This window comes from Homo sapiens, chromosome 7 (genome assembly GCF_000001405.40).
Source record: "Homo sapiens chromosome 7, GRCh38.p14 Primary Assembly".
NCBI classification, from domain to species: Eukaryota; Metazoa; Chordata; class Mammalia; order Primates; family Hominidae; genus Homo; species Homo sapiens.
The window spans coordinates 75,834,245-75,859,023 of record NC_000007.14 but is presented as its reverse complement, the minus strand read 5'-3'; the positions used below and the strand labels follow the sequence as shown (position 1 = coordinate 75,859,023).

The 24,779-nt window shown below is 47.3% G+C and overlaps 1 pseudogene, besides 1 other annotated feature; it reads right to left on the bottom strand.

Annotated features, from left to right (window-relative positions):
- Positions 15,872–16,091: an enhancer, noted in NCBI's record as "active region_26182". NCBI's record gives its function as "activates an Ori minimal core promoter by ATAC-STARR-seq in GM12878 lymphoblastoid cells {active_cell/tissue: GM12878}" and the evidence as "EXISTENCE:reporter gene assay evidence [ECO:0000049][PMID:35858748]".
- LOC100129130 (THO complex 4 pseudogene) lies at positions 22,695–23,363 on the bottom strand (annotated as a pseudogene).

Below are 24,779 nucleotides of genomic sequence, written 5' to 3'. Positions count from 1 at the left end.
ATATTACTACGTACCTTACAGAAATAAAAAGTATTGGAAGGGGGTCAGGCACAGTAGCTCATGCCTGTAATCCCAGCACTTTGGGAGGCTGAGGTGGGAGGATCACTTCAGGCCAGAAGTTCAAGACCAGCCTGGGCAACATAGGGAGGCCCTGCCTCTACAAAAATAAAAAAATTAGCCAGGCATGGTGGTGCACACCTGTGGTCCCAGCTGCTTGGGAGGCTGAGATGGAAGGATTGCTTGGGCCTGGGAGGTTGAGCCTGCAGTGAGCTATGATCATGCCACTGCACCCCAGCCTGGGCAACAGAGTAAGATCCTGGAAAAGAAAAGAAAGAAAGAGAAAGAGAGAAAGAAAGAGAAAAAGAAAGAGAAAAAAAAAGAAAGAGAAAAAGAAAGAAAAAGAGAAAGAAAGAAAAAGAAAGAGAAAGAAAATGAAAGAAAAAGAAAGAGAAAAGGAAAGAGAAAAAAGAAAGAGAAAAAGAAAGAGAAAGAAAAATGAAAGAAAGAGAAAGAAAGAAAAAAGAAAGAAAAATGAAAGAAAGAAAGGAACTACCAAAACTAACTCAAGAAGAAATAGAACAGACACATAACCAGCAGAGTTATCAAAAAACCTCCAACAAATAAAGGTCCAGGACCAGATGGTTTTATTGGTGAACTGATTTTGACAACAGTGCTAAGACCATTCTAGGGGAAAGAGTCTTTTCAACAGACGGTGTTGGGACAACTGGATATCTACATGCAAAATAATAAAGTTGAACTCATCTCATGTGCAAAATCCATTCAAAATAGAAGGAAGAGCTAGATATAAGTGCTAAAACTATAAACTCTTTTTTTTTTTTTGAGATGGAGTCTTGCTCTGTTGCCCAGGCTGGAGTGCAGTGGCACGATCTTGGCTCACTGCAATCTCCGCCTCCCAGGTTCAAGCAATTCTCCTGCCTCAGTCTCCTGAGTAGCTGGGATTACAGGGCATGCACCACCACGCCCAGCTAATTTTTGTATTTTTAGTTTCACCATGTTGGCCAGGCTGGTCTTGAACTCCTGACCTCAAGTGATCTTCCCACTTTGGCCTCCCAAAGTGCTGGGATAACAGGCGTAAGCCACCACGCCTGGCCTAAAACTATAAACTCTTAGAAGAAAATTCTCTGTGCCCTTTGATCAGGCAGTGGTTTCTTTCTTTTGACCCCCAAAGCACAAGCAACTAAAGAAAATATTGATAAGTTGGACTTCATGAAAATTAAGAATTTGTGTGTGTCAAAGGACACTATCGAGGCTGGGCGCAGTGGCTCATGCCTGTAATCCCAGCACTTGGGGAGGCCGAGGCGGGTGGATCACTTGAGTTCAGGAGTTCAAGACCAGACTGGCCAACACGGCAAAAACCCATCTCTACTAAAAGTACAAAAATTACCCAGAAGTGTTGGCGTGCACCTGTAATCCCAGGTACTCAGGAGGCTGAGGCACGAGAATCGCTTGAACTTGGGAGGCGGAGGTTGCAGCGAGCCGAGATTATACCACCGCACTCTAGCCTAGACAACAGAGCAAGACTCTGTTTCAAAAAAAAAAAAGAACCCTATCAAGAAAATTAAAAGACAACCCACCAAATGGGAGAAGTGTGTGTAAATCACCTATCTGATAAAGGCTTAGTATCCACAATATAAAGAATGATGCCTACAACTCAACAATAACAAGACAACTCAATTAAAAATTGGTCAAAGTGCTGGGCAGTCTGTCTTACATCTGTTATAATCCCAGCATTTTGGGAGGCTGAGGTAAAAGGATCGCTTGACCCCAGGAGTTCAAGATCAGCCTGGACAACACAGCCAGATCCTATCTCATTAAAAAAAAAAAAGAAGAAGAAAACGAAAACTCAGATAGAATTGTACACCAAAAGGAATAAATTTCCCTGTATGTGGATATTCAAGTAAAATTTAAATATGAAGATATTTCCAGTTTCTTGAGAGTAGACCCTAAACCTGGATCAATTTCATTCCTCTCAGGGAACCTAGTACACTGCCTGATGTTTAGTAGTTTCTTATTAAAGTAAATGATAATTAAATGGACATTATTTTCTATGGGTAAGCATTAGCAGCTTTAGGGCAATTACTTTTTTCATTCCCAGAGCCCATGGGGCTAGGAAGAGGTTCCTATTTCTTAGCAATTTTGACAACCGTTTAATGACAATAGAACATAATGACTTATCGAATCATTTTCTGAAATGTTGCCAGTGGCTGACGTAGGTCAGTGTATCCTACGCTTTTGAGAGAAACCTCAATCGGACTAGACAGTCTTTCCTCTACCCACAACTTCTTCTTCTTCTTTCTTCTTCTTCTTTTTTTTGAGGTGGAGTCTTGCTCTGTTGCCCAGGCTGAAGTGTAGTGGTGCAATTTTGGCTCACTTCAACCTCTGCCTCCTGGGCTCAAGCGATCCTCCCACCTCAGTCTCCTGAGTAGCTGGGACTACAGGCTCACACCACTATGCCCAGCTAATTTTTTATAGAGATGAGGTTTCGCCATGTTGCCCAGGCTAGTCTTGAATGAACTCCTGGACTCAAGTGATCCTCTCTCCTCAGCCTCCCAAAGTGCTAGGATTACAGGCGTAAGCCACCACGCCTGGCAAACCTTTGCTTTTATAAGCTTGCTGAGGTTTGAAGTTGTTATTGTAGCATAATAGTGAACACTGATCTATACAAAAATTGATACCTGAGTACAAAAATCTAGAGGCAGCATTAGCTTTGGGGCCAGGTGGTGACTGTCATTGGAGGTTGGAAAAATGGCAGCCCACGTCATGCGGTGGTACAACCTTTGTCAAAATCCTCACTTGAAATAATACGGAAAGAAGATAACTTAGCAAATGAATGTTTTGGCTTTGGGTAAAGAAATGGGAAAAGGAATTTTGGCAACATGAGTTGGTTTCTACTGGTTACATTTGACAAACTGCAATAAGAAAGAATGGGCCAGTTTGCAAGCAGGTTTTTTTTTTTTTTTTTTTTTTGAGATGGAGTTTTCTCTTGTTGCCCAGGCTGGCGTGCAATGGTGCGATCTCAGCTCACTGCAACCTCCGCCTCCTGGGTTCAAGCGATTCTCATGTCTCAGCCTCCCACGTAGCTGGGATTACAGGTGCCCGCTACCACACCCAGCTAATTTTTGTATTTTTAGTAGAGACGGGGTTTCACCATGTTGGCCAGGCTGGTCTTGAACTCCTGACCTTAAATGATCTGCCCACCTTGGCCTCCCAAAGTGCTGGGATTACAGGGGTGAGCCACCGCACCTGGCTGTAAGCGGAATTTAAAGGCAATATAGAAAGTCCAGAAATTCCAGGGCTTATAAAGTTGAAAGATGATTCTAATTCCCAAAAGGTGAATGATAAAACTGAGAAGTCTTTGTGAGAAAAAGCCTTATTTATAATACTCGGCCTTGTGGTTATGACCAAATCAAGGATAAACAGGTTGAACTCTGTTAAAACTTCTGAATCCATTAATAGGGTACCAAGTAAATACTTTTTTTGTGTGTGTGTGACAGAGTCTCACTCTATCGCCTAGGCTGGAGTGCAGTGGCATGATCTCGGTTCACTGCAACCTCTGCCTCCCGGGTTCAAGTGATTCTCCTGCCTCAGCCTCCCGAGTAGCTGGGATTACAGGTGCCTGCCACCGCACCCGGCTAATTTTTTATTTTTAGTATAGACAGGGTTTCACCATCTTGGCCAGGCTGGTCTTGAACTCCTGACCTCATGATCCACCCGCCTCAGTCTCCCAAAGTGCCAGGATTACAGGTGTGAGCCACAGCGCCCAGCCATAAATACTTTCAACTGGACAACATGGCCAAGGATTATGAGGCCAAGAGCACACCCAGACACTGTGGCTCACATCTGCAATCTCAGCACTTTGGAAGGCCTGGGTGAGTCACTTGAGCCCAGGAGTTTGAGAACAGCCTGGACAACATGGCAAAACTGTCTTTCTACAAAGTACAAAAAATTAGCTGAGCATGGTGGCCCATGCTTGTAGTCCCAGCCACCCAGGAGGCTGAGGTGGGAGGATCACTTGAGCTCAGGAGGTCGAGGCCGTAGTGAGCCGCGATTGCACCACTGCCCTGTAGCCTGGGTGGCAGTGTGAGACCCTGTCTCAAAAAAAAAAAAAAAAAAAAAAAAAAGAGGCCGGGTGCGGTGACTCACGCCTGTAATCCCAGCACTTTGGGAGACTGAGGTGGGTGGATCACGAGGTCAGGAGATCAAGACCATGCTGGCCAACATGGCAAAACCCCATCTCTACTAAAAATACAAAAAATCAGCTGGACATGGTGGCGCACGCCTGTAATCCTAGCTACTCAGGAGGCTGAGGCGGGAGAATCGCTTGAACCCGGGAGGTAGAGTTTGCAGTGAGCCCAGATGGTGCCACTGCACTCCAGCCTGGGCGACAGAGTGAGACTCCATCTCAAAACAAAACAAAACAAAACAAAACAGAGAGAGACAGAGAATGGCCCTCCCAGGAAGACTGGAAGTTCAAGGATCTGCAATGTAGTCTAGAGAGGCATGTCTCAGAAAGCGTTACTACAACTTAGAGCTGGCCAGAACCACATATTTGTGAAACCAACAAAAATTTTTTTTGAGACACGGTCTTCTTGTTCTGTTGCCCAGGCTAGAGTACAGTGGCGCAATCATGGCTCACTGCAGCATGAGCCTCCCAGGCTCAAGTGATACTCCCACCTCAGCCTCCCAAGTAGCTGGGACTATAGGTATGCATCACCACGCCCAGCTAATTTAAAAAAACTTTCTTTTTTTTTTTAGAGATATGGGGTCTTGCTATCTTGCCCAAGCTGGTCTTGCCCTCCTGGGCTCAAGTCATCCTCCCTCCTTGGCCTCCCAACGTGTTGGAATTACAGATGTGAACCACCATACCTATCCCAAAGCCATCTAAATTTTTGGGAAATGTGTATCACCCAAAGAAACATTCATCTGAACTCCAAGAAACAGTGACCATTTCAATACTTAAAATGACTCTTTGACTTGCCAACATTCCGCAGCAGGAAACAAGATGAGAAAGCCACTCAGCTCCCTGGAGAACATACAGGCAATGGTGACCTCAGATACGGCCATTGAGTTTAATGAGCCTCCCAGTGGGTGGACCGGAGAGAGCCATCAAGAACAAGGGACCTGGCCGGGCACGGTGGCTCACGCCTGTAATCCCAGCACTTTGGGAGGCTGAGGGTGGGCAGATCGCTTCAGGTCAAGCCAAGGTAGGAGGATCACTTGAGCCTAGGAGTTCGAGACCAGCCTGACCAACATGGCGAAACCCCATCTCTACTAAAAATACAAAAACTAGCTGGGCGTGGTGGCAGGCACCTGTAGTCCCAGCTACTCGGGAGGCTGAGGCAGGAGAATCGCTTGAACCCGGGAGGCGGAAGTTTCAGTGAGCCGAGATCGTCCTACTGCACTCCAGCCTGGGTAACAGAGCGAGACTCCATCTCAGAAAAAAAAAGAAAAAAAGAAAGAACAAGGGATCAGGGAGCCACTTCCAGGGACAGATCAAGACCTAGTCAATAAATTTTCCCCATTCCCAGGTAAGGAGCTTTGGCAAGGGATGCCCAGGGCATATGCCCTTTTTTTTTTTTTTTTTAAGAGATGGGATCTTGCTATGTTGCCCAGGCTGGTCTCAAACTCCTGGGCTCAAGTGATCCTCCTACCTTGGCTTCCCAAAGTGCTGGGATTGCAGGCATGAGCCACTGTGCCGGGCCAGCATATGCCTTTTAGAACTGCTATGGGCCAGTTGGCTCCTGCATTCCACCCTTCCCGTATACAAGTGGGAGTGACCAGCAGGGCTAACCCTTTCTGCTTCACTATTGTATGTTGGTAAATACTGGAGAGGAGATCAGATAACTTGCCTGTTTAGTTCACTACTCCATGGATCAAGGATAGCCAAAACTGATCTGAAATGGAGACTATCATGAGATCCTAGACTTTGAGCCTCATGCTATGACTGGGTGGGATTTGGGGTATTTTCCCTGAAGAGGGGAATGACTGTATTTTCACGTGTAGGGCGGGAAGCAAAGCACTCACCAAGAGGGTGGACTGTGGTCTGTTGCCTCATCATTCCAAATATTTGCTGCTCTTCCCTATAAAAGGAGCATCAGCCCTGCCCCTTGGTATACTACTATGGTAACCCTTTATGTGGGAGAATCACATGAAGAATTATCTGCCTGGCATGGTGGCTCACGCCTGTAATCCCAGCACTTTGAGAGGCCGAGACGGGAGAATTGCTTGAGCCTAGGAGTTCAAGACCAGCCTGGGCAACATGCTGAAACCCTGTCCCTACAAAAAAAAAAAAAAAAAAAAAAAAAAAAAATTAGCCCGGTATGGTGGTCGCACGCCTGTAGTCCCAGCTACTCAGGAGGCTGAGGCGGGAGGACTGCTTGAGCCCAGAAGCTCAAGGCTTCACTGAGCTGTGATTGCACCACTGCATTCCAGCCTTGGTGACCGAGGGAGATCCTATCTCAAACCTCCCCTATCACCCCCAAAAATATGAACAGATGCCAAGGTTATTGGGGTAGATCCTAAATCTGAATCATCTTTGTACTTCCCAGAGAGCCTGGGACATTATCTATGCACAGTAGTTATTAAAATAAATGATAATCAGAATCAACCTAGGTGCCCATCAACAGTGGACTGGACAAAGAAAATGTGGTCCAGCCAGGCATGGTGGCTCACGCCTGTAATCCCAGCACTTTGGGAGGCCGAGGCGGGAGGATCACCTGGGGTTGGGAGTTCGAGACCAGCCTGACCAACATGGAGAAACCCTGTGTCTACTAAAAATACAAAATTAGCTGGGCATGGTGGTGTGTGCCTGTAATCCCAGCTACTCGGGAGGCTGAGGCAGGAGAATTGCTTCAATCCAGGAGGCGGAGGTGGCGGTGAGCCAGATCGTGGCATTGCACTCCAGCCTGGGCAACAAGAGTAAAACTCCGTCTCAACAAATAAATAAATAAAACAAAAAAAAGAAAATGTGGTCCATATATACCATGGAATACTATGCAGCCATAAAAAAGAATGAAACAATGTCATTTGCAGTCACAAGGATGCATCTGGAGGCCATTAGCCTAAGCAAACTAATGCAGAAACAAAAAATTAAATACCGCATGTTCTTTCTTAGAAAAGGGAGCTAAGCACTGGGTATACATGGACACAAAGATGGGAACGATAGGCCGGGCACAGTGGCTCACGCCTGTAATCCCAGCACTTTGGGAGGTCGAAGTGAGTGGATCACTTGAGGTCAGGAGTTCAAAACCAGCCTGGCCAACATGGTGAAACCCCATATCTACTAAAAATACAATAATTAGCCAGATGTAGTGGTGGGCACCTGTAATCCCAGCTACTCCAGAGGCTGAGGTAGGATAAATTGCTTGAGCTCAGAAGGCAGAGCCGTCAGTGAACCGAGATCACGATGCTGCACTCCAGCCTGAGCAACAAAGCAAGACTCTGTCTCAAAAAAAAAAAAAAAGATGGGAGCAATAGACATTGGGGACTACTGGAGTGGGGAGGGAGGGAGGCAAGGACTGAAGAACGACCTATTGGTCGTTCACTACCTGGGTGATGGGATCATTCATAACCCAAACCTTAGCATCCGGAAGTATACCCATGTAACAAACCTGCCCATGCACCTCTGAATCTAAAATGAAAGTTGAAATAAAAAGTAATTTAAGGGGGGGGGGGAGGGGGTAGGGACAGCATTAGGAGATATACCTAATGTAACTGACGAGTTAACGGGTGCAGCACACCAACATGGCACATGTATACATATGTAACAAACCTGCACATTGTGCACATGTACCCTAGAACTTAAAGTAAAATAATAAAAAAAATTTAAGTTAAATTAACCAAAAAAAAGTAACTTAAGGCCAGGTATGGTGGCTCACGCCTGTCATCCCAGCACTTTAGGACGCTGAGGCAGGTGGATCGCCTGAGGTCAGGAGTTTGAGACCAGCCTGGCCAACATGGAGAAACACTGTCTCTACTAAAAATACAAAAACTAGCTGGGTGTGGTGGTATGAACCTGTAATCCCAGCACTTTAGGACGCTGAGGCAGGTGGATCGCCTGAGGTCAGGAGTTTGAGACCAGCCTGGCCAACATGGAGAAACACTGTCTCTACTAAAAATACAAAAACTAGCTGGGTGTGGTGGTATGCACCTGTAATCCCAGCTACTTGGGGGGCTGAGGCAGGAGAATCGTTTGAACCCGGGAGGCGGAGGTTGCAGTGAGCTGAGATCGCGCCACTATGCTAAAGCCTGGGCGACAGAATGAGACTCTGTCTCAGACAAAAAAAAGAAAAAAAAAGTCATTTAACTTATTTTTTAAAATTTCAAAATAAATACAATAAATGATAACTAAATTAAAAATCATCTTCATTGGGTGAACATTAGCAACTTTAGGGCAAATATTCTTCCATTCCCATGGCCTGGTGCTGACAAGACATGGCTATTTCTCAGCGATTGCAAGCCTTCAATCACAGTGAGCACACGCTGACTTAGGAGAGTTCCACTCTGAGATATTGCTGCCAACCAAGGTCAATGTACGCCATGCCTTCCAGAGAAACAGACCCTCAGCCATAGTCCTGCAACCACAACTTCTTCTATACATTTTGACATAACTTCCTCTGCCTCTTTCCAGCTGCAGCTGAATTGCTAAACACACACACATATACATGCACACACACTCCTACCTCAATCCCTTGAAAACTCCCCAGACCAAAATGTTTTCTTTTCTTTTCTTTTCGAGATGGAGTCTTACTCTGTCACCCAGGCTAGAGTGCAGTGGCGCGATCTCGGCTCACTGCAACCTCCCAGGTTCAAACGACTCTCCTGTCTCAGCCTCCTAAGTGGCTGGGATTACAGGCACATGCCTCCAAGCCTGGCTAATTTTTGCACAAAATGTTCCTTTCTTGCTAGATAGTCCCAAGATCAGCTCTCTGGTAAATCACAAGTCTACTGACAACCCAACTTTTGATTTATCTCTGTCTTAAAAAAAAAAATTTTTTTTTTTTTTTAGAGATGGGGTCTTGCTACGTTGCCCAGGCTGGTCTCCAACTCCTGGCTTTAAGTGATCCTCCTGCCTCAGCCTCCCAAAGTGCTGGGATTACAGGTGTAAGCCATTTCACCTGGCCTCAATTTATCTCTTCCTTATTAAATACTGGCAAATACCTTTTCACAGAGAGTCCCAGAGTCTGGGACTCAGAGTCTGAGTCACAAGTGGAAATACAAGGTGTGCAAAGTTTGCCTACTACAAGGAGTTGCTGGAAGAAAATATCCCAACCCGACACACTTAGCCAACAGTGGGTGGAGTCTTTTCTTTGAAACTGTATGAAATTACAATTGGTCTTTAAACAACACAAGTTTGAACTATATGGGCCAGTTATACACAGTGTTTTTCTTTTAGAGATGGGGTCTTGCTATGTTGCCCGGTCTCGTCTCAAACTCCTGGGCTCAAATAATCTTCCTGCCTCAGCCTCCTAAAGCACCGAGATTATAGAAGTCCCTTTTATAATCAACCAAAGTCCTGAATTGTCTTATGTGGGTTACAGTTAAGCTATAATTACCAAGTAGTCTACTGGGCTTATGGGCTTAGGTTTAGGTGTGTACAAACCTCCCTGTTAAAATTCTTTTTTTTTCTCTTTTTTGAGACAGGGTCTCACTCTGTCAACCAGGCTGGAGTGCAGTGGTGCGATCTCGGCTCACTGCAACCTCTCCCTCCTGGGTTCAAGTGATTCTTCTGCCTCAGCCTCCTGAGTGGCTGGGATTATAGGAGTGCACCACTACGCCTGGCCAATTTTTGTATTTTTGGTTGAGACGGGATTTTGCCATGTTGGCCAGGCTGGTCTCAAACTCCTGACCTCAGGTGATTCACCCGCCTCGGCCTCCCAAAGTGCTGGGATTACAGGCGTGAGCCACTGTGCCTGGCCTCTGTTAAAATTCATCTTACCAGTTTCACACCACTGTTTTCACTGCCAAGATCCATTTGGATCCCACTGTCCTACAAAACTACTCTCCTGGCAGAGTGGGCTTATTTTCAGGCTGGCCAGTGGATCATTCAAAAGTCCATCCAGGCCAGATGCTCATGCCTGTAATCCTGACACTTTGGGAGGCTGAGACGGGAGGATCACTTGAGCCCAGTAGTTTGTGACCAGCCTAGGCAACATCATGATATCCTGTCTCTACAAAAAATTGTAAAAACCTAGCTGGGCATGATGGTGCACACCTGTAGTCCTAGCTACTCAGGAGGCAGAGGTGGGAGGATCTCTTGAGGCTGGGAGTTGGAGGATGCAGTGAGCTATATGATTGCACCACTGCACCCCAGACTGGGTGACAGAGTGAGAACCTGTCTCAAAATAAAATAAATAAAAAATAAAAGAAGGCCGGGTGTGGTGGCTCACACCTGTAATCCCAGTACTTTGGGAGGCCGAGGCACGTGGATCACCTGAGGTCAGGAGTTCGAGACCAGCCCGGACAACGTGGTGAAACCCCATCTCTACTAAAAATACAAAAAATCAGCCGGTCACGGTGGCACGTGCCTGTAGTCCCAGTTACTTGGGAGGCTGAGGAGCAAGAATCACTTGAACCCAGGAGGCAGAGATTGCAATGAGCCAAGATCGTGCCACTGCACTCCAGTCTGGGTGACAGAGCGAGACTCTGTCTCAGAAAAATATAAAGAAAGAAAGAAAGAAAAGAAGAGAATGTGCCACTGCCCTCTTCAGCCTGGATCATAGAGCAAGATCTCTCTCTCTCTCTCAAAAAAAGAAAGCTTAGTACTCAAAGATTTCTTTTTTTTTTTTTTTAAATAGAGATAGGGTCTCTCTATGTTTCCCAGGCTGGTTTCAAAGTCGTGGGCTCCAGGGATCCTCCTGCCTCAGCCTCCCAAAGTGCTGGGATTACAGGTGTGAGCCACCGCACCCGGCCTCAAAGCTGCATCTTAAGGAGAAACGACAATCTAAGCAGAGAGAATGGCACAACACAGGCTTGGAGGCGGCCCCTTTGGGGAAGTAAAAGCAGCCAGTTTAGCCCTCCCTCCATTCCCACCATGGCTCAGGCTCTTCTCTTTATTTCAGCCTCTGCTGCCTTCTGGATTCTTGTCCTTTTTCCATTGCCAGCTCTTGGTGACAACATGCAGCTCACCAGTTTGACCTGTGGTGCTCTCTAAGGCTGTCACTTCTACTTCCCCTCTGGCTCTCTCTAGTCTGAGACAATTCGAGTAACCTCCCTGCCCGCCAGTGTGGCTCCTTGGCACCACAAGCCCAGCCCTCTAACAGAAACAACCAGACAGATGCAAACCGGGACACCTAAGGATGGACAGCAGGGCTCCATCCTCCTGTTCAATGCTGCCACTGGGATCTCAAATGAAGACGGAGAAGCTCTCATTTTCGCCAGACACTGTGGCTCACTCCTGTCATCCCAGCGCTTTGGGAGACTGCGGCAGGAGAATTGCTTGAGGCTGGGAATTGGAGACCAGCCTGGGAAACTTAGCAAGGCCCTGTCTCTACCACACATGAAAAATAGCTGGGGGTGGTGGTGTGTGCCTGTGGTCCCAGCTACTCAGGAGGCTGAGGCAGGAGGATCGCTGGAGCCCAGGAGGTTGAGGCTGCAGTGAGCCATGATCGCACCACTGCACTCCAGCCTGGGTGATGGAGCAAGACCCTGTCTCTAAAAAAAAGGCCTGATTTTCAAGAATGTGTGCCCAAATCTGGGGGTGGGAGAGGAGACATTCAGGATCCTAACAGGCTAGAGAAAAGGTCCAACTCTTAGGAGATGAAATAGCTAAGCCTCTGGTCACAAAGCCATGACCAAATCCCAGAAAGGAGAGGCAAGGCACTGCAGGAAAAGACTCGGGGGTTTAGAAAAGAAGCTGTGAACTGGGTGCGGTGGCTCACGCCTGTAATCCCAGCACTTTGGGAGGCAGAAGTGGGCGGATCAACTGAGGTCAGGAATCCAAGACCAGCCTGGCCAACATGGTGAAACCCCCTCTCTACTAAAAATACAAAAATTAGCCGGGTGCGGTGGTGGCATGTGCCTGTAATCCCAGCTACTCAGGAGGCTGAGGCAGGAGAATCGCTTGAGCCTGGGAGGCTGGAGGTTGCAATGAGCTGAGATTGGCCCACTGCACTCCAGCCTGGATGACAGAGTGGAAAAAAAAAAACAAAACCAGCCTCAGCAACATAGTGAGATCCATTTCTACAAAAAATTTTTTAAAATTAGCCAAGTGTGGTGGTGCATACCTGTAGTCCCAGCTACTAGGGAGGCTGAGGTAGGAGGATCACTTGAGCCTGGGATGTTGAGGCTGCTGTGAGCCAAGATTGCACCACTGCACTCCAGTCTGGGTGACAGAGTGAGACCCTGTTTCCAAAGAAAAAAAAACACCAATAATAAACATTGATTATTTTACATACTTTTTTTGGTCAGGGATTCAGAAATGACTTAGGTACATGGTTTGGATTTAAGGTTTCTCTTAAGGTTGTAGCCAAGATGTTGTCCAGGTCTACAGCCATCTGTCAGCGTTACTCAGCTGGAGGCACGGAGGCATTCCTGCCTGCACTGAGACATTCCTGCCCTTTCACAGTCTTGACACTTTTGAAGACTACTGGACAGTTAGTTTGTAGAATGCCCATCAATTTGGGTTTGTCTGATATTCTCTTGTGGTTAGATTGAGGCTATGCATTTTTCTCAACGAGACTGTAATAGTACAGTTGTGTCCTTTTTATTTATTTTTTGAGACAGGGTCTCACTCTGTCACCCAGCCTGGAGTACAGTGGTGCAATCATAGCTCACTGCAGCCTCGACCTCCTGGGCTTAAGTGATCTTCCCACCTCAGCCTCCCGAGTAGCTGGAATTACAGGCATGCATCATCGTGCCCAGCTAATTTTTATATTTTTGTAAACACAGGGTCTCATTACGTTGCCCAGGCTGATCTCAAACTCCTGAGCTCAAGTGATCCTCCTGCCTCAGCCTCCTAAAGTGCTGGGATTACAGGTGTGAGCTACTGTATTCAGCCTCCAAGCTGTGTCCTTTTTAGTGTATCACATTAGAGGGTTCATGATGGCATTATATCTCATTGCTGGAGATGTTCACCTTGACCATTTGGTTCAAGTGGTGTCTTCTGAGATTTTCCACTGTTATATTACCATTTTTCACTTTGTATTTAATAAAATCATGAAGTCTCCTAAAGCTTTCTCAGGCATCTACATTTGTCAAAGCTCCCTGAGTGATTCCATTGTGCTACCGGGGTTGAAAACCACCAAATAGGTAGATCAAGTTCATGGAGGAGCTAAGATGGGTGAGATGGGGACTTGAAAAGAGGTGACATGAGGAATGGCTGAACGCCTGCAGAATATAAGAGTCAGGGACTGGCTGGGCATGGTGGCTCATGCCTCTAATCCCAGCACTTTGGGAGGCCGAGGTGGGTGGATCACCTGAGATCAGGAGTTCAAGACCAGCCTGGCCAACCCCATCTCTACTAAAAATACAAACAAAATTAGCCCGGCGTGGTGGTGGGTGCCTGTAGTTCCAGCTACTCAGGAGGCTGAGGCAGGAGAATCGCTTGAGCCTGGGAGGCGGAGGTTGTAGTGAGCCAAGATCACGCCACTACACTCTAGCCTGGGCAACAAGAGCAAAACTCTGTCTCAAAAAAACAAACAAACCAAACGAACAAAAAAAACCAAAGTCAGGGACTAACATGTTTGAAAATATCTGAAGAGCTGTCAAGTGTGAATAGTTCCTGTGCAAACCAAAAATAAAATTCTAAGCACCCCCATCAACAGAATGGACTCCTCTTTCAGCCAAGGGCATTCCAAAGTTAACCTGAAACACTAGTACAGGCCATCATGGGAAGGGGTGTTTGGACATGCCTCATTATACCCACCTCCCTTTGAAATTCAGGTATAGCCAACAAGCATGAACATGAAAAGAGAAACCTTAAGATGGACAAAACACACTCTTTAGCAATGAGATACCAGCATGACAGATAGCAGGCCCTGAAAGAAATCAAAGTATTTTACCCACAAATATATTTCTTTGAGATACATACATACATATATATATATATATATAGACACACACATACATATATATACACACACATATATATGTGTGTGTGTATATATACATATATATAAACTTTTGTTTAGGTCAGGCACAGTGGCACATACTTGTAATCCCAGCACTTTGGGAAGCTGAGACGGGTGAATTGCTTGAGCTCAAGACTTTGAGAGCAGCTTGGGCAACATGGTAAAACCCTGTCTACAGTTTTTTTTTTCTGTTTTTTTTTTTTGATACAGAGTCTCACTCTGTCACTGAGGCTGGAGTGCAATGGCATGATCTCGGCTCACTGCGACCTCCACCTTCCGGGTTCAAGTGATTCTCCTGCCTCAGCTTTCTGAGAAGCTGGGATTACAGGTGCACAGCACCATGCCCAGCTAATTTTTGTATTTTCAGTAGAGATGGGGTTTCACCATGTTGGCCAGGCTGGTCTTGAACTTCCGACCTCAGGTGATCCACCTGCCTTAGCCTGCCTCCCAAAGTATTGGGATTACGGGAGTGAGCCACCAAACCCAGCTCCAAATTTTCTTTTTTTAAATTAGCCATGTGTGGTGATAAGCACCTGTAGTCCCCACCACTCAGGAGGCTGAGGTAGGACGATTGCTTGAGACCAGGAGGTCGAGGCTGCAATGAGCTGATTGTGCCACTGCACTCCAGTCTGGCAGTGAGAGTGAGATTGTCTCAAAAAACACAAAACAAACAAACAAACAAAATAAAGACAGGGTCTCCTATGTTGCCCAGGCTGGTCTCGAACTCCTGGGTTCAATCAATCCTCCTGCCTCAGCCTCCCAAAGTGCTGGGGTTGTAGGCGTAAACCATCATGCCAGCCTCTATGGGAGCCATAAAGTGGTCTATGTAATCACACACTTGTCAAACCAATTCTATCCGTGATTCTTGGGGAAATCTGTGAAGTCCCATCTATCTGAAGAGATGTTGTGGAGGCTGAAATAACTCCATCTTGGAAGCTAGGCTTCTGATTAACCCTGGTTCCAAGAATGCCTCTAAGATTTCCAGTTTATCTATCATTCCTTATATAAAAGCGCATACTTACCATTAATCCTGCCCTTATGCCAGAGGCGTTAGAACCAGAGTGACTCCATCTTGAGTGAGGGCTAAGAAAAATGAGGCTGGGGCTTGCTGGGCCGCACTCCCAGAAAGTGAGGTATTCCTAGCCTCCAGATGTTTACAGTTAAGGGAACAGATTGACAATGTTTACTAAACAGACCCAGACTTAGGAGTGTCCTGATATCCCGATATCTTGACAACAGAAGCGTTCCTACGATAATTTCGATTCTTGCGAAATACAGTAAGAAAATTAATCCTTTATCACAAACCCTTGTAGCAGAACACATCTCCCCATAATCTTTTCTTATGCTATATATAAACAAGTATTGTCTCCAGGGTGGACACATTCCTCCTCTTCCTAACCTGTCTGTGGAGTAGCTGTGTCCTTCACCACGTTACTTTCCTAATAAACTTGCTTTTACTTTATGAACTTGCCCTGAATTCTTTCTGGCGCGAGATCCAAGAACCCTCTGTTGGGGTCTGGATCGGGACCCCTTTCTGGTAACACTTGGATCAAATCAACCTTGATGAACTCCTACTTACTGTAAATCCTGCCCTTAAGCAAATTCCTACACATTCCTTCTGGAGCATGTGCATTCTTTCCTTATGGTATATAGTTCCTGAGTCTGGGATGTAACAGCATGGAGATCTACCTGCCTTGTGGCCATCCAAGACGATGCTTCTGTCCATAGTTCCCCCAGTGAAACACCCCGTGATGACAAACTGGATTTGTCTGCCTCATTCTTTGGTTTCTTGGCTCCTTCTATACTTAGGGTTGTTTTGCATATAAGGCCCTATTGTGAAACAGATGTTTAATATGAGTCACTGTTCTGTTTAGAAATATACATTGTTGTTACTGTTGATCTCCACTTCTGCGGGGGTGTTTCCTGTTCTGGAAATCTCTCTGCTGGCCCCTGGGGCACCTCCGTGAATAGTGAAATGCTCACTACTTGGCAGGGAGACTTTCAGCTCTGAGTCCAGCCTGCAAACACCCCAATATCACTCTTCGCACAGAGATACAGGCACTGTGACACTAAGCTGGAGGCAAGGTATGTGGGGAGGCTGGCCTGGGGAAATAAAGCTATTTTTGGATCCAATAAAGCTTCCTAAAGCTGAGGCCACCTAAGAGGTATCCGTCAAATGCTTACCTTGTATAGGATTCTTCTGTGTATTTTGGTCCAGTGGTCAGCAAGAGGCCGGGAGCTACAGAACTACCCATCCAGGGCCCCAGGGAAGGTTAAGGACAGGGTTAAACCAGACTTCAATTCTCATCATCCTGATGCAGCAAGAAGGAAATGTCTGTTATCAGTGTGGGTGGGAGTTGTGTTTCCCCTGAAAGGAGTGGAAATTTCACTGAAAGTCATCCTGGAAAGAGGCCAGTCTTCGGAGACAGAAAAAAAAAAAAAAATGAAAAGGCTGGGCGCGGTGGCTAATACCTATAATCCCAGAACTTTGGGACACCAAGGTCTGCTGATCACTTGAGGTCAGGAGTCCAAGGCCAGCCTGGCCAACATGGCAAAACCCTTTCTCTACTAAAATTACAAAAAAAAATTAGCCGGGTGTGGTGGCACACACCTGTGGTCCCAGCTACTTGGGAGGCTGAGGCACGAGAATCGCTTGAACCCGGGAGGCAGAGGTTGCAGTGAGCCAAGATCGTACTATAGCACTCCAGCCTAGGTGACAGACTGAGACTCAGTGTCAAAAAAAAAAAAAAAAAAAGAAGCTTGGGGAGGTGGGTCTCAAAGACAAAACAAAAGCTTTTTCTCTCCCCAGGGCTGCTAAACCTGGATTTTGAGGCACAGACAAAAGATCTATGTTGTAGCTAATTTTCTGACAATTTGGCTATGCTAAGGTGCCTGTCTAGACATCAGTTTAGATGCTAACACCAGTCTAGGTGCTACTATGAAGGTAATTTTCAGACATGATTAACTTTTTTAATTTTTATTTTAGAGACAGAGTCTTGCTCTGTCGCCCAGGCTGGAGTGCAGTGGTGCGATCATAGCTCACTGCAGCCTCAACCTTCCAGACTCAAGTGATCCTCCCACTTAAGCCTCCCAAGTAGCTGGGACTACAGGCTCACACCACCACGCCTGGCTTTATTTTATTTTTTTTGTAGAGACAGGGTCTCGCTATATTGCCCAGGCTGGTCTCAAACTCCTGAACTCAAAGCGATCCTCCTGCCTCGGCCTCCCAAAGTGCTGGGATTACAAACGTGAGCCACCGTGCCTGGCTGTGATGAACATTTAAATCAGCAGACTTTGAATAAAGACGATGACCCTCCACAAAGCAGGTAGGTCTCATCCAATCACTTGAAGGCTTTAAGGTCAAAGAGTGAGGTTTCCTGAAGAAGAAGGAATTGGGCCTCGATTCCACTGCAACATAGAAACCCTGGCTGGGTTTCCAGCCTGCTTGGCCTGCCTGAAGAATTTAGACACGAGGCTGCAACACCACCTCTTCCCTGGATCTCCAGCCTGCCAGCTTGCCCTACACATTTTGAACTTGCCAGCCTCTGCAATTACAGAAGCCAGTTCTTTTTCTTTTTCTCTTGAGACAGAATCTCACTTTTGTCGCCCAGGCTGGAGTGCAATGGCATGATCTCAGCTCACTGAAACCTCCGCCTCTCAGATTCAAGTGATTCTCCTGCCTCAGTCTCCCAAGTAGCTGGGATTACAGGTGCCCACCACCATGCCTGGCTAATTTTTGTATTTTTAGTAGAGATGGGGTTTCACCATGTTGGGCAGCCTGGTCTTGAACTCCTGACCTCAGGCGATCCGCCTGCCTTGGCCTCCCAAAGTGCTGGCATGAGCCACCACGCCTGGCCTAAACCAATTCTTATTTATTTATTTTTTGAGACGGAATTTCGCTCTTGTTGCCCAGGCTGGAGTGCAATGGCATGATCTCAGCTCACTGCAACCTCCACCTCCCGGGTTCAAGTGATTCTCCTGCCTCAGCCTCCCGACTAGCTGGGACTACAGGCATGCACCACTATACCCAGCTAATTTTTTGTATTTTTAGTAGAGACGGGGTTTCTCCATGTTGACCAGGCTGGTCTTGAACTCCTGACCTCAGGTGATCTGCCTGCCTCGGCTCCCAAAGTGCTGGGATTACAAGCATGAGCCACCGCGCCCAGCCTAAGCCAGTGCTTTAAAATAATGAAAGGATTATTTTTCTCTCTCTGTATGTATATCCTATTCACTCTGTTTGAGAGCCTTGACTAATACAGTTTCACTAGAAATTGACTCCTATTGCAATGACTGAGGATGGGAGTTGGGGAGGAATCATATTGGAAGAGATCCTGTGGGCAGGTTGGTGCCTATGGCCTCTGACTGCAGCCCCTTCCAAGACTCAGCTGGAAGCATCTGGATTAAGGGATTGGAAAACTCTAGCCTGTAGACCAAATCCACTCGTAGGCTACAGTGTACAGCCCACAGTGTTAAGATTGTTTTTGTATTTTTAAAGGATTGTTAAAAACAAATAGACAAGCCGGAGGCAGTGGCTCACACCTTTAATCCCAACACTCTGGGAGGCCAAGGCGGGAGGATTGCTTGAGCTCAGGAGTTTCAAACCAGTCTGGGCAACATAGCAAGACCCCATCTCTATTAAAAATCAATCACAGGTGACTGAGGTGGTGCATGCACCTGTAGTCCCAGGTATTCAGGAAGCTGAGGCAGGAAGATCTTTTGAGGCCAGGAGTTTGAGACCAGCCTGGGCAACATAGCAAGACCCTGCCTCTATAAAAACTGTTTGAAATAGCCAGGTATGGTATTACAGGCCTGTAGTCCCAGCTACTTGGGAGACTGAAGCAGAAGGATCACTTGAGCCTGGGAGTTCAAAGCTGTAGTGAGCTCTGATCGCACCATCACACTGCAGCCTGGACAACAGAGTGAGACTCTGTCTATTTTTTTTTTTTTGAGATGGAGTCTTGTTCTGTTGCCCAGGCTGGAGTGCAGTGGCGCGATCTCGGCTCACTGCAAGCTCCACTTTCCGGGTTCATGCCATTCTCCTGCCTCAGCCTCCTGAGTAGCTGGGACTACAGGCACCCGCCACCACACCCTGCTAATTTTTTTGTATTTTTAGTAGAGACGGGGTTTCACCATGTTAGCCAGGATGGTCTCGATCTCCTGACCTCGTGATCCACCCACCTCAGCCTCCCAAAGTGCTGGGATTACAGGCGTGAGCCACCGCGCCTGGCTACTCTGTGTCTAAAATATAAAAAATCAGAACAAAACAAAAAGGTATACCCCCAGCCATCAACCACCTCCACACTTCAGCCTACTCCAAAACCCTAAAAAACTCCTAACTATGAGTTGTTTGGTATCTCTCGGTATTAGCTAACCCTGGGAGGGTCAGTTTCCTCCTCTAGCACCAGCAAGGCCCCAGATGTCAAAAAATAGAATCAAAATACAGGCCTTCCATGAGCCAGGCATGGTGGCTCATGCCTATAATCCCAGCACTTTGGGAGGCTAAGGCAGGCAGATCACCTGCGGTCAGGAGTTCAAGTTCAAGGAGGTCAAGGAACCTGGCCAACATGGTGAAACCCCATCTCTACTAAAAATACAAAAATTAGCTGAGCATGATGTTGCGTGCCTGTAGTCCCAGCTACAAGAGAGGCTGAGGCATGAGGATAGCCTGAACCCAGGAGGCAGAGGTTGCAGGGAGCCAAGCTCGCACCACTGCACTCCAGCCTGGGCAACACAGCAAGACTCTGTCTCGAAAACAAAACAAAACAAAAAAGAATCAAAATGCAGAAAATAAAGATACATGCTTAATATACTGGGTCATCTAGTGATTCTGGGTTTGTTTGTTTTTTGAGACAGACTCTCGCTCTGTCACCCAGGCTGGAGTGCAGTGGCACGATTTCAGCTCACTGCAACCTCTGCCTCCCAGGTTCAAGCGGTTCTCCTGCCTCAACCTCCCCAGTAACTGGGATTACAGGCATGCACCACCATGCTCAGCTACTTTTTTTTTTTTTTTTTTTTTTGTATTTTTGGTAGACACGGGGTTTCACCATATTGGCCAGGCTGGTCTTGAACGCCTGACCTCAAGTGATCCACCCACCTCAGCCTCTCAAAGTGCTAGGATTACAGGCATGAGCCACCGTGCCCAGCCTAGTGATTCTATGTTTACATTTAGAGGAACTGCTTTTCCACGGTACTGGACCATTTTACATCGCCACCAACAATGTAGAGTACCTGCAGATAGGTCCTTTGTCTGATATTCACGGCAAGTCAATACACAGATACACCAGGTTGCAGTAGAGAAGGAGGTTTCTTCATAAGGCCACCAAACGAGGAGATGGAGGAAACCTCAAATTCATCTCCCCCAGGAATTTGGAGTTAGGGTTTTTCAGAGTTTTGGAGTGGGCTGAAGCGTGGAGGTGGTTGATGGGCGGAAGTGTGCGGGGTGAAGTCACGGGACAGGGAGATGAAGAAGCTGGGTTCTCATGCTCATTCTCTTCCCCTGCGGGGGTCTTCAAACTGGTTGACATCAGCTGTTTTGCTGGAATTCAGGATCTGAAAAATATCTTAAGCAATTCTTTGTTTTTTTTTTTTTGAGACTGAGTTTCGCTCTTGTTGCCCAGGCTGGAGTGCAATGGCACGATCTCAACTCACTGCAACCTCCGCCTCCCCAGTTCAAGCGATTCTCATGCCTCAGCCTCCCCAGTAGCTGGGATTACAGGCACATGCCACCATGCCCAGCAAATTTTTGTTTTTTTTTTTAGTAGAGACGGGGTTTCCCCATGTTGGCCAGGCTAGTCTCGAACTCCTGACCTCAGGTGATCTGCCCACCTCGGCCTCCCAAAGTGCTGGGATTACAGGCGTGAGCCACTGTGCCTGCCCAGCAATTCTTAAGCAAAAGTCTTATGATTCCTTTTTTTTTTTTTTTGAGACAGGATCTTGCTCTGTTGCCCAGGCTAGAGTGAAGTGGCGAGATCATGGCTCACTGCAGCCTCGACCTCCTGGGCTCAAGTGATTCTCCCATCTCAGCCTCCCCAGTAGCTGAGACTACACATGCAGCCACCCTGCCTGGCCCCAATTTTTTTTTTTAATGTTTCATATTGCCTCCTTATTATTTTGAAATAAATTTCAAGTGTCACAAGGCAGAAGGATCACTTGAGGCCAGGAGTTTGAGACAAGTCTGGGCAACATAGTGAGACCTCATTCCTATAAAAAAATAAACAAAATTAGCCAGGCATGGTGGTGCACACCTGTAGTCTCAGCTACTTCTGAGGTTGAGGTGGAAGGATCACTTGAGCCCAGGTGTTGGGGGCTGTAGTGAACTACAGTCACGCCATGGCACTCCAGCCTGGGTAACAGAGAAACAAATTTACCCCTATATTTCTTCCCTATATTTTATAGTTTTGGCTCTTACATTTAGGTATTTGATCCATGCTGAGTTTTTTTTTTTTGAGATGTAGTCTTGCTCTGTTGCCCTGGCTGGACTGCAGTGGCGTGATCTCGGCTCGCTGCAAGCTCCACCTCCTGGGTTCACATCATTCGCCTGCCTCAGCCTCCCCAGTAGCTGGGACTACAGGCACCCGCCACCACGCCTGGCTAATTTTTTGTATTTTTAGTAGAGACAGGGTTTCACCGTGTGAGCCAGGATGGTCTCGATCTCCTGACCTCGTGATCCGTCCGCCTTGGCCTCCCAAAGTGCTGGGATTACAGGCGTGAGCCACCGCGCCCGGCCGAGTTAATTTTTTTTTTTTAATAGATGAAGTCTCGCCATGTTTGCCAGGTTGGTCTTGAACTCTTAGCCTCAAGCAATCCTCCCACCTCGGCCTTCCAAAGTGCTAGGATTACAGACATGAGCCAGCGCGCCCAGCCAAGTTAATTTTTGTATATGGTATGTGGTAGCAGTTGCACTTCTTTCTCTTGCGGGCGGATATTCAATTGTTCTAGCACCACCTGTTGAATATACTTCTTTCTCCATTGAATGGCCTTGGCACTCTTGTCAAAAATCAATTGACTGTAAATGTGAGGGTTTATTTCTAGACTGTCAATTCTATTCCATTGATCTATATGTCCATCCGTATGCCAGGATCAAGCTGTCTTGATTATTGTAGTTTTGTATTAAGTTTTGAAATCTGGGTCCTTTGAATTTCCATATGAATTTTAGAGTCAGCTTGTCAAAGAACTGGTTTCTGCAAAGAAACCACATGAGATTTTGCTAGGGGTTGTGTTAAATCTGTAGGTCATCTGGGGACTATTGTCATCTTAACAGTATTTCAGTCTTTTTTTTTGGGATGGAGTCTCGCTCTGTCGCCCAGGCTGGAGTGCAGTGGCGCGATCTTGGCTCACTGCAAGCTCTGCCTCCCGGGTTCACGCCATTGTCCTGCCTCAGCCTCCCGAGAGTAGCTGGGACTACAGGTGCACGCCACCGTGCCCGGCTAATTTTTTGTACTTTTAGTAGAGACGGGGTTTCACAGTGTTAGCCAGGATGATCTCGATCTCCTGACCTTGTGATCCGCCCGCCTCGGCCTCCCAAAGTGCTGGGATTACAGGCGTGAGCCACTGCGCCCGGCCGGTATTTCAAACTTTCAACACGTGAACGTGGGATTTTTTTTTTCTGTTTCAGAATTTAAAAACAAAGAAAGAAAGAAAAAACATCTTTACACGAGTTTTTAAATCCTACTTTAAAACACAAAAGAAACAAATCCATCATTGGCCACACAGCCCCAGCCACGGCCTCCCCACCATGGAGCGAGAGGAGCCGCCTGGGTCCTGTTGCGCACGCGGATTTGCTGGTCTGCTTAACTGGTGTCCATTCTGGCATTATAGGCGTCCATCTCCTCTGCCGAAAAGCTGCTGCTTTGAATTCCTGCCGGCGCCTCTGCCTCTTCCCCGGTCGCCTCCACGGGTGCCTCCCCGGGTGCCTCCCCGGGTGCCTCCGTTACCACCAAAACCTCCAGCGCCACGGTTTCTAGTCATGCCACCTCTGTTTACGCTCTGTGCAGGTGTCTGTTATGTATCAATCTGTGATGTGACAAGCTGAATGTTCACAGGGCGGCCAGCCAGAGGGGTGCCGTAGTACTGCTTCATGGCCTTCAGGGCGTGTGCCTTCCGCTCAAAGCGCATGTCTGCTGATCCTAAGCTGCGGCCAGAGCCATCGTAGTGCACAGCCGCCTTCTTCAGCGTTCCAAATTCTGCAGAGTTCCCAAATATCAGTGTCTGATACTTCAAAACCTAGATTGGACACCAGCAGTTTCCCACCCGTCTCCACGCCGGCACCACTGCTGGTCCACAGCTGGGGAGGCCCAGAAGACAGGGAGTTCCAGGACAGAAGGGGGCAGGAAGCCCTAACCACCCGCTTTTCCTGTCATGCCCTGAGACTAGGTGTCATCCTTCTGCTTGTAGAAATAACTCCTGAGCAGGGCGCGGTGGGTCAGGCCTGTAATCCCAGCACTTTAGGAGGCCGAGGCAGGCAGATCACCTGAGGTCGAGAGTTTGAGACCAGCCTGACCAACATGGGGAAACCCCGTCTCTACTAAAAATACAAAATTAGCCGGGCATGGTGGCTCAGGCCTGTAATCCCAGCACTTTGAGAGGCCAAGGCGGGTGGATCGCCTGAGGTCAGGAGTTCGAGAACAGCCTGGCCAACATGGGGAAACCCTGTCTCTACTAAAAATACAAAAATTAACGGGGCGTGGTGGCAGGTGCCTGTAATCCCAGCTACATGGGAGGTGGAGGCAGGAGAATCGCTTGAACCCGTGAGGCAGAGGTTGTGGTGAGCCGAGACCGTGCCATTGTGCTCCAGCCTGGGCAACAAAGAGCAAAACTCTGTCTGAAAAAAAAAGCAAAAAACAAAAAACAAAAAAAAATAACCCCTGATTGGCGACCAAGAAAGGACCAGATTCTGCTAATCCGCAAAATCTGGTGGTCAAGAACTTCACTAAAAGAAGAAGTGAAAGGATTTCCTTCCTGAAGGACCTGCACAGCTGGATTGCTTCCCTAAGACCAAAAAACCCTGGAGCCCTGCTTGCAGAGACCCAGCCCCCTCACTGCACTGCCACAGGACACTGACGGCCTGAGGCTGGAGATGGACACACTCTGCCCACTTATTTGACCCCAACGCTCACGGGGTCGGTTGGAATAGCCAGGAAACGTGTACATTCGGGGTCCCAAGAGACAGCGTGTGGGCTGGGCACGGTGGCTCTCACCTGTAATCCCAGCACTTTGGGAGGCCGAGGTGGGTGGATCACTTGAGGTTGGGAGTTCAAGACCAGCCTGGCCATCATGATGAAACCCCATCTCTACTAAAAATACAAAAATTAGCCAGGCTTGGTGGTGCACCTGTAGTCCCGCTACTCAGGAGGCTGAGGCAGGAGAATCACTTGAACCCAGGAGGTGGAGGTTTCAGTGAGCTGAGATCGTGCCACTGCACTCCAGCCTGGGCAACAGAGTGAGACTTTGTCTCAAAAAAAAAAAAAGAGAGAGAGACAGCGAGAGTGCGTGGCAGGAAAGCCCTGTGTGGTAGAGAGCTGCCGGCCACTGGAGCCAGGGCCCTGACTCTACCCTTTAGGAGGATATGAATTTGGACAGCACTTTCTTCCTCCATGCACTGGCACTAATGGTGCTTGCTTGCAACACCTTATTTTACTGTTGGGAAGCTCGAATGAGACAGAGTCACAGGAGCACTTTGATTTTTGAGAC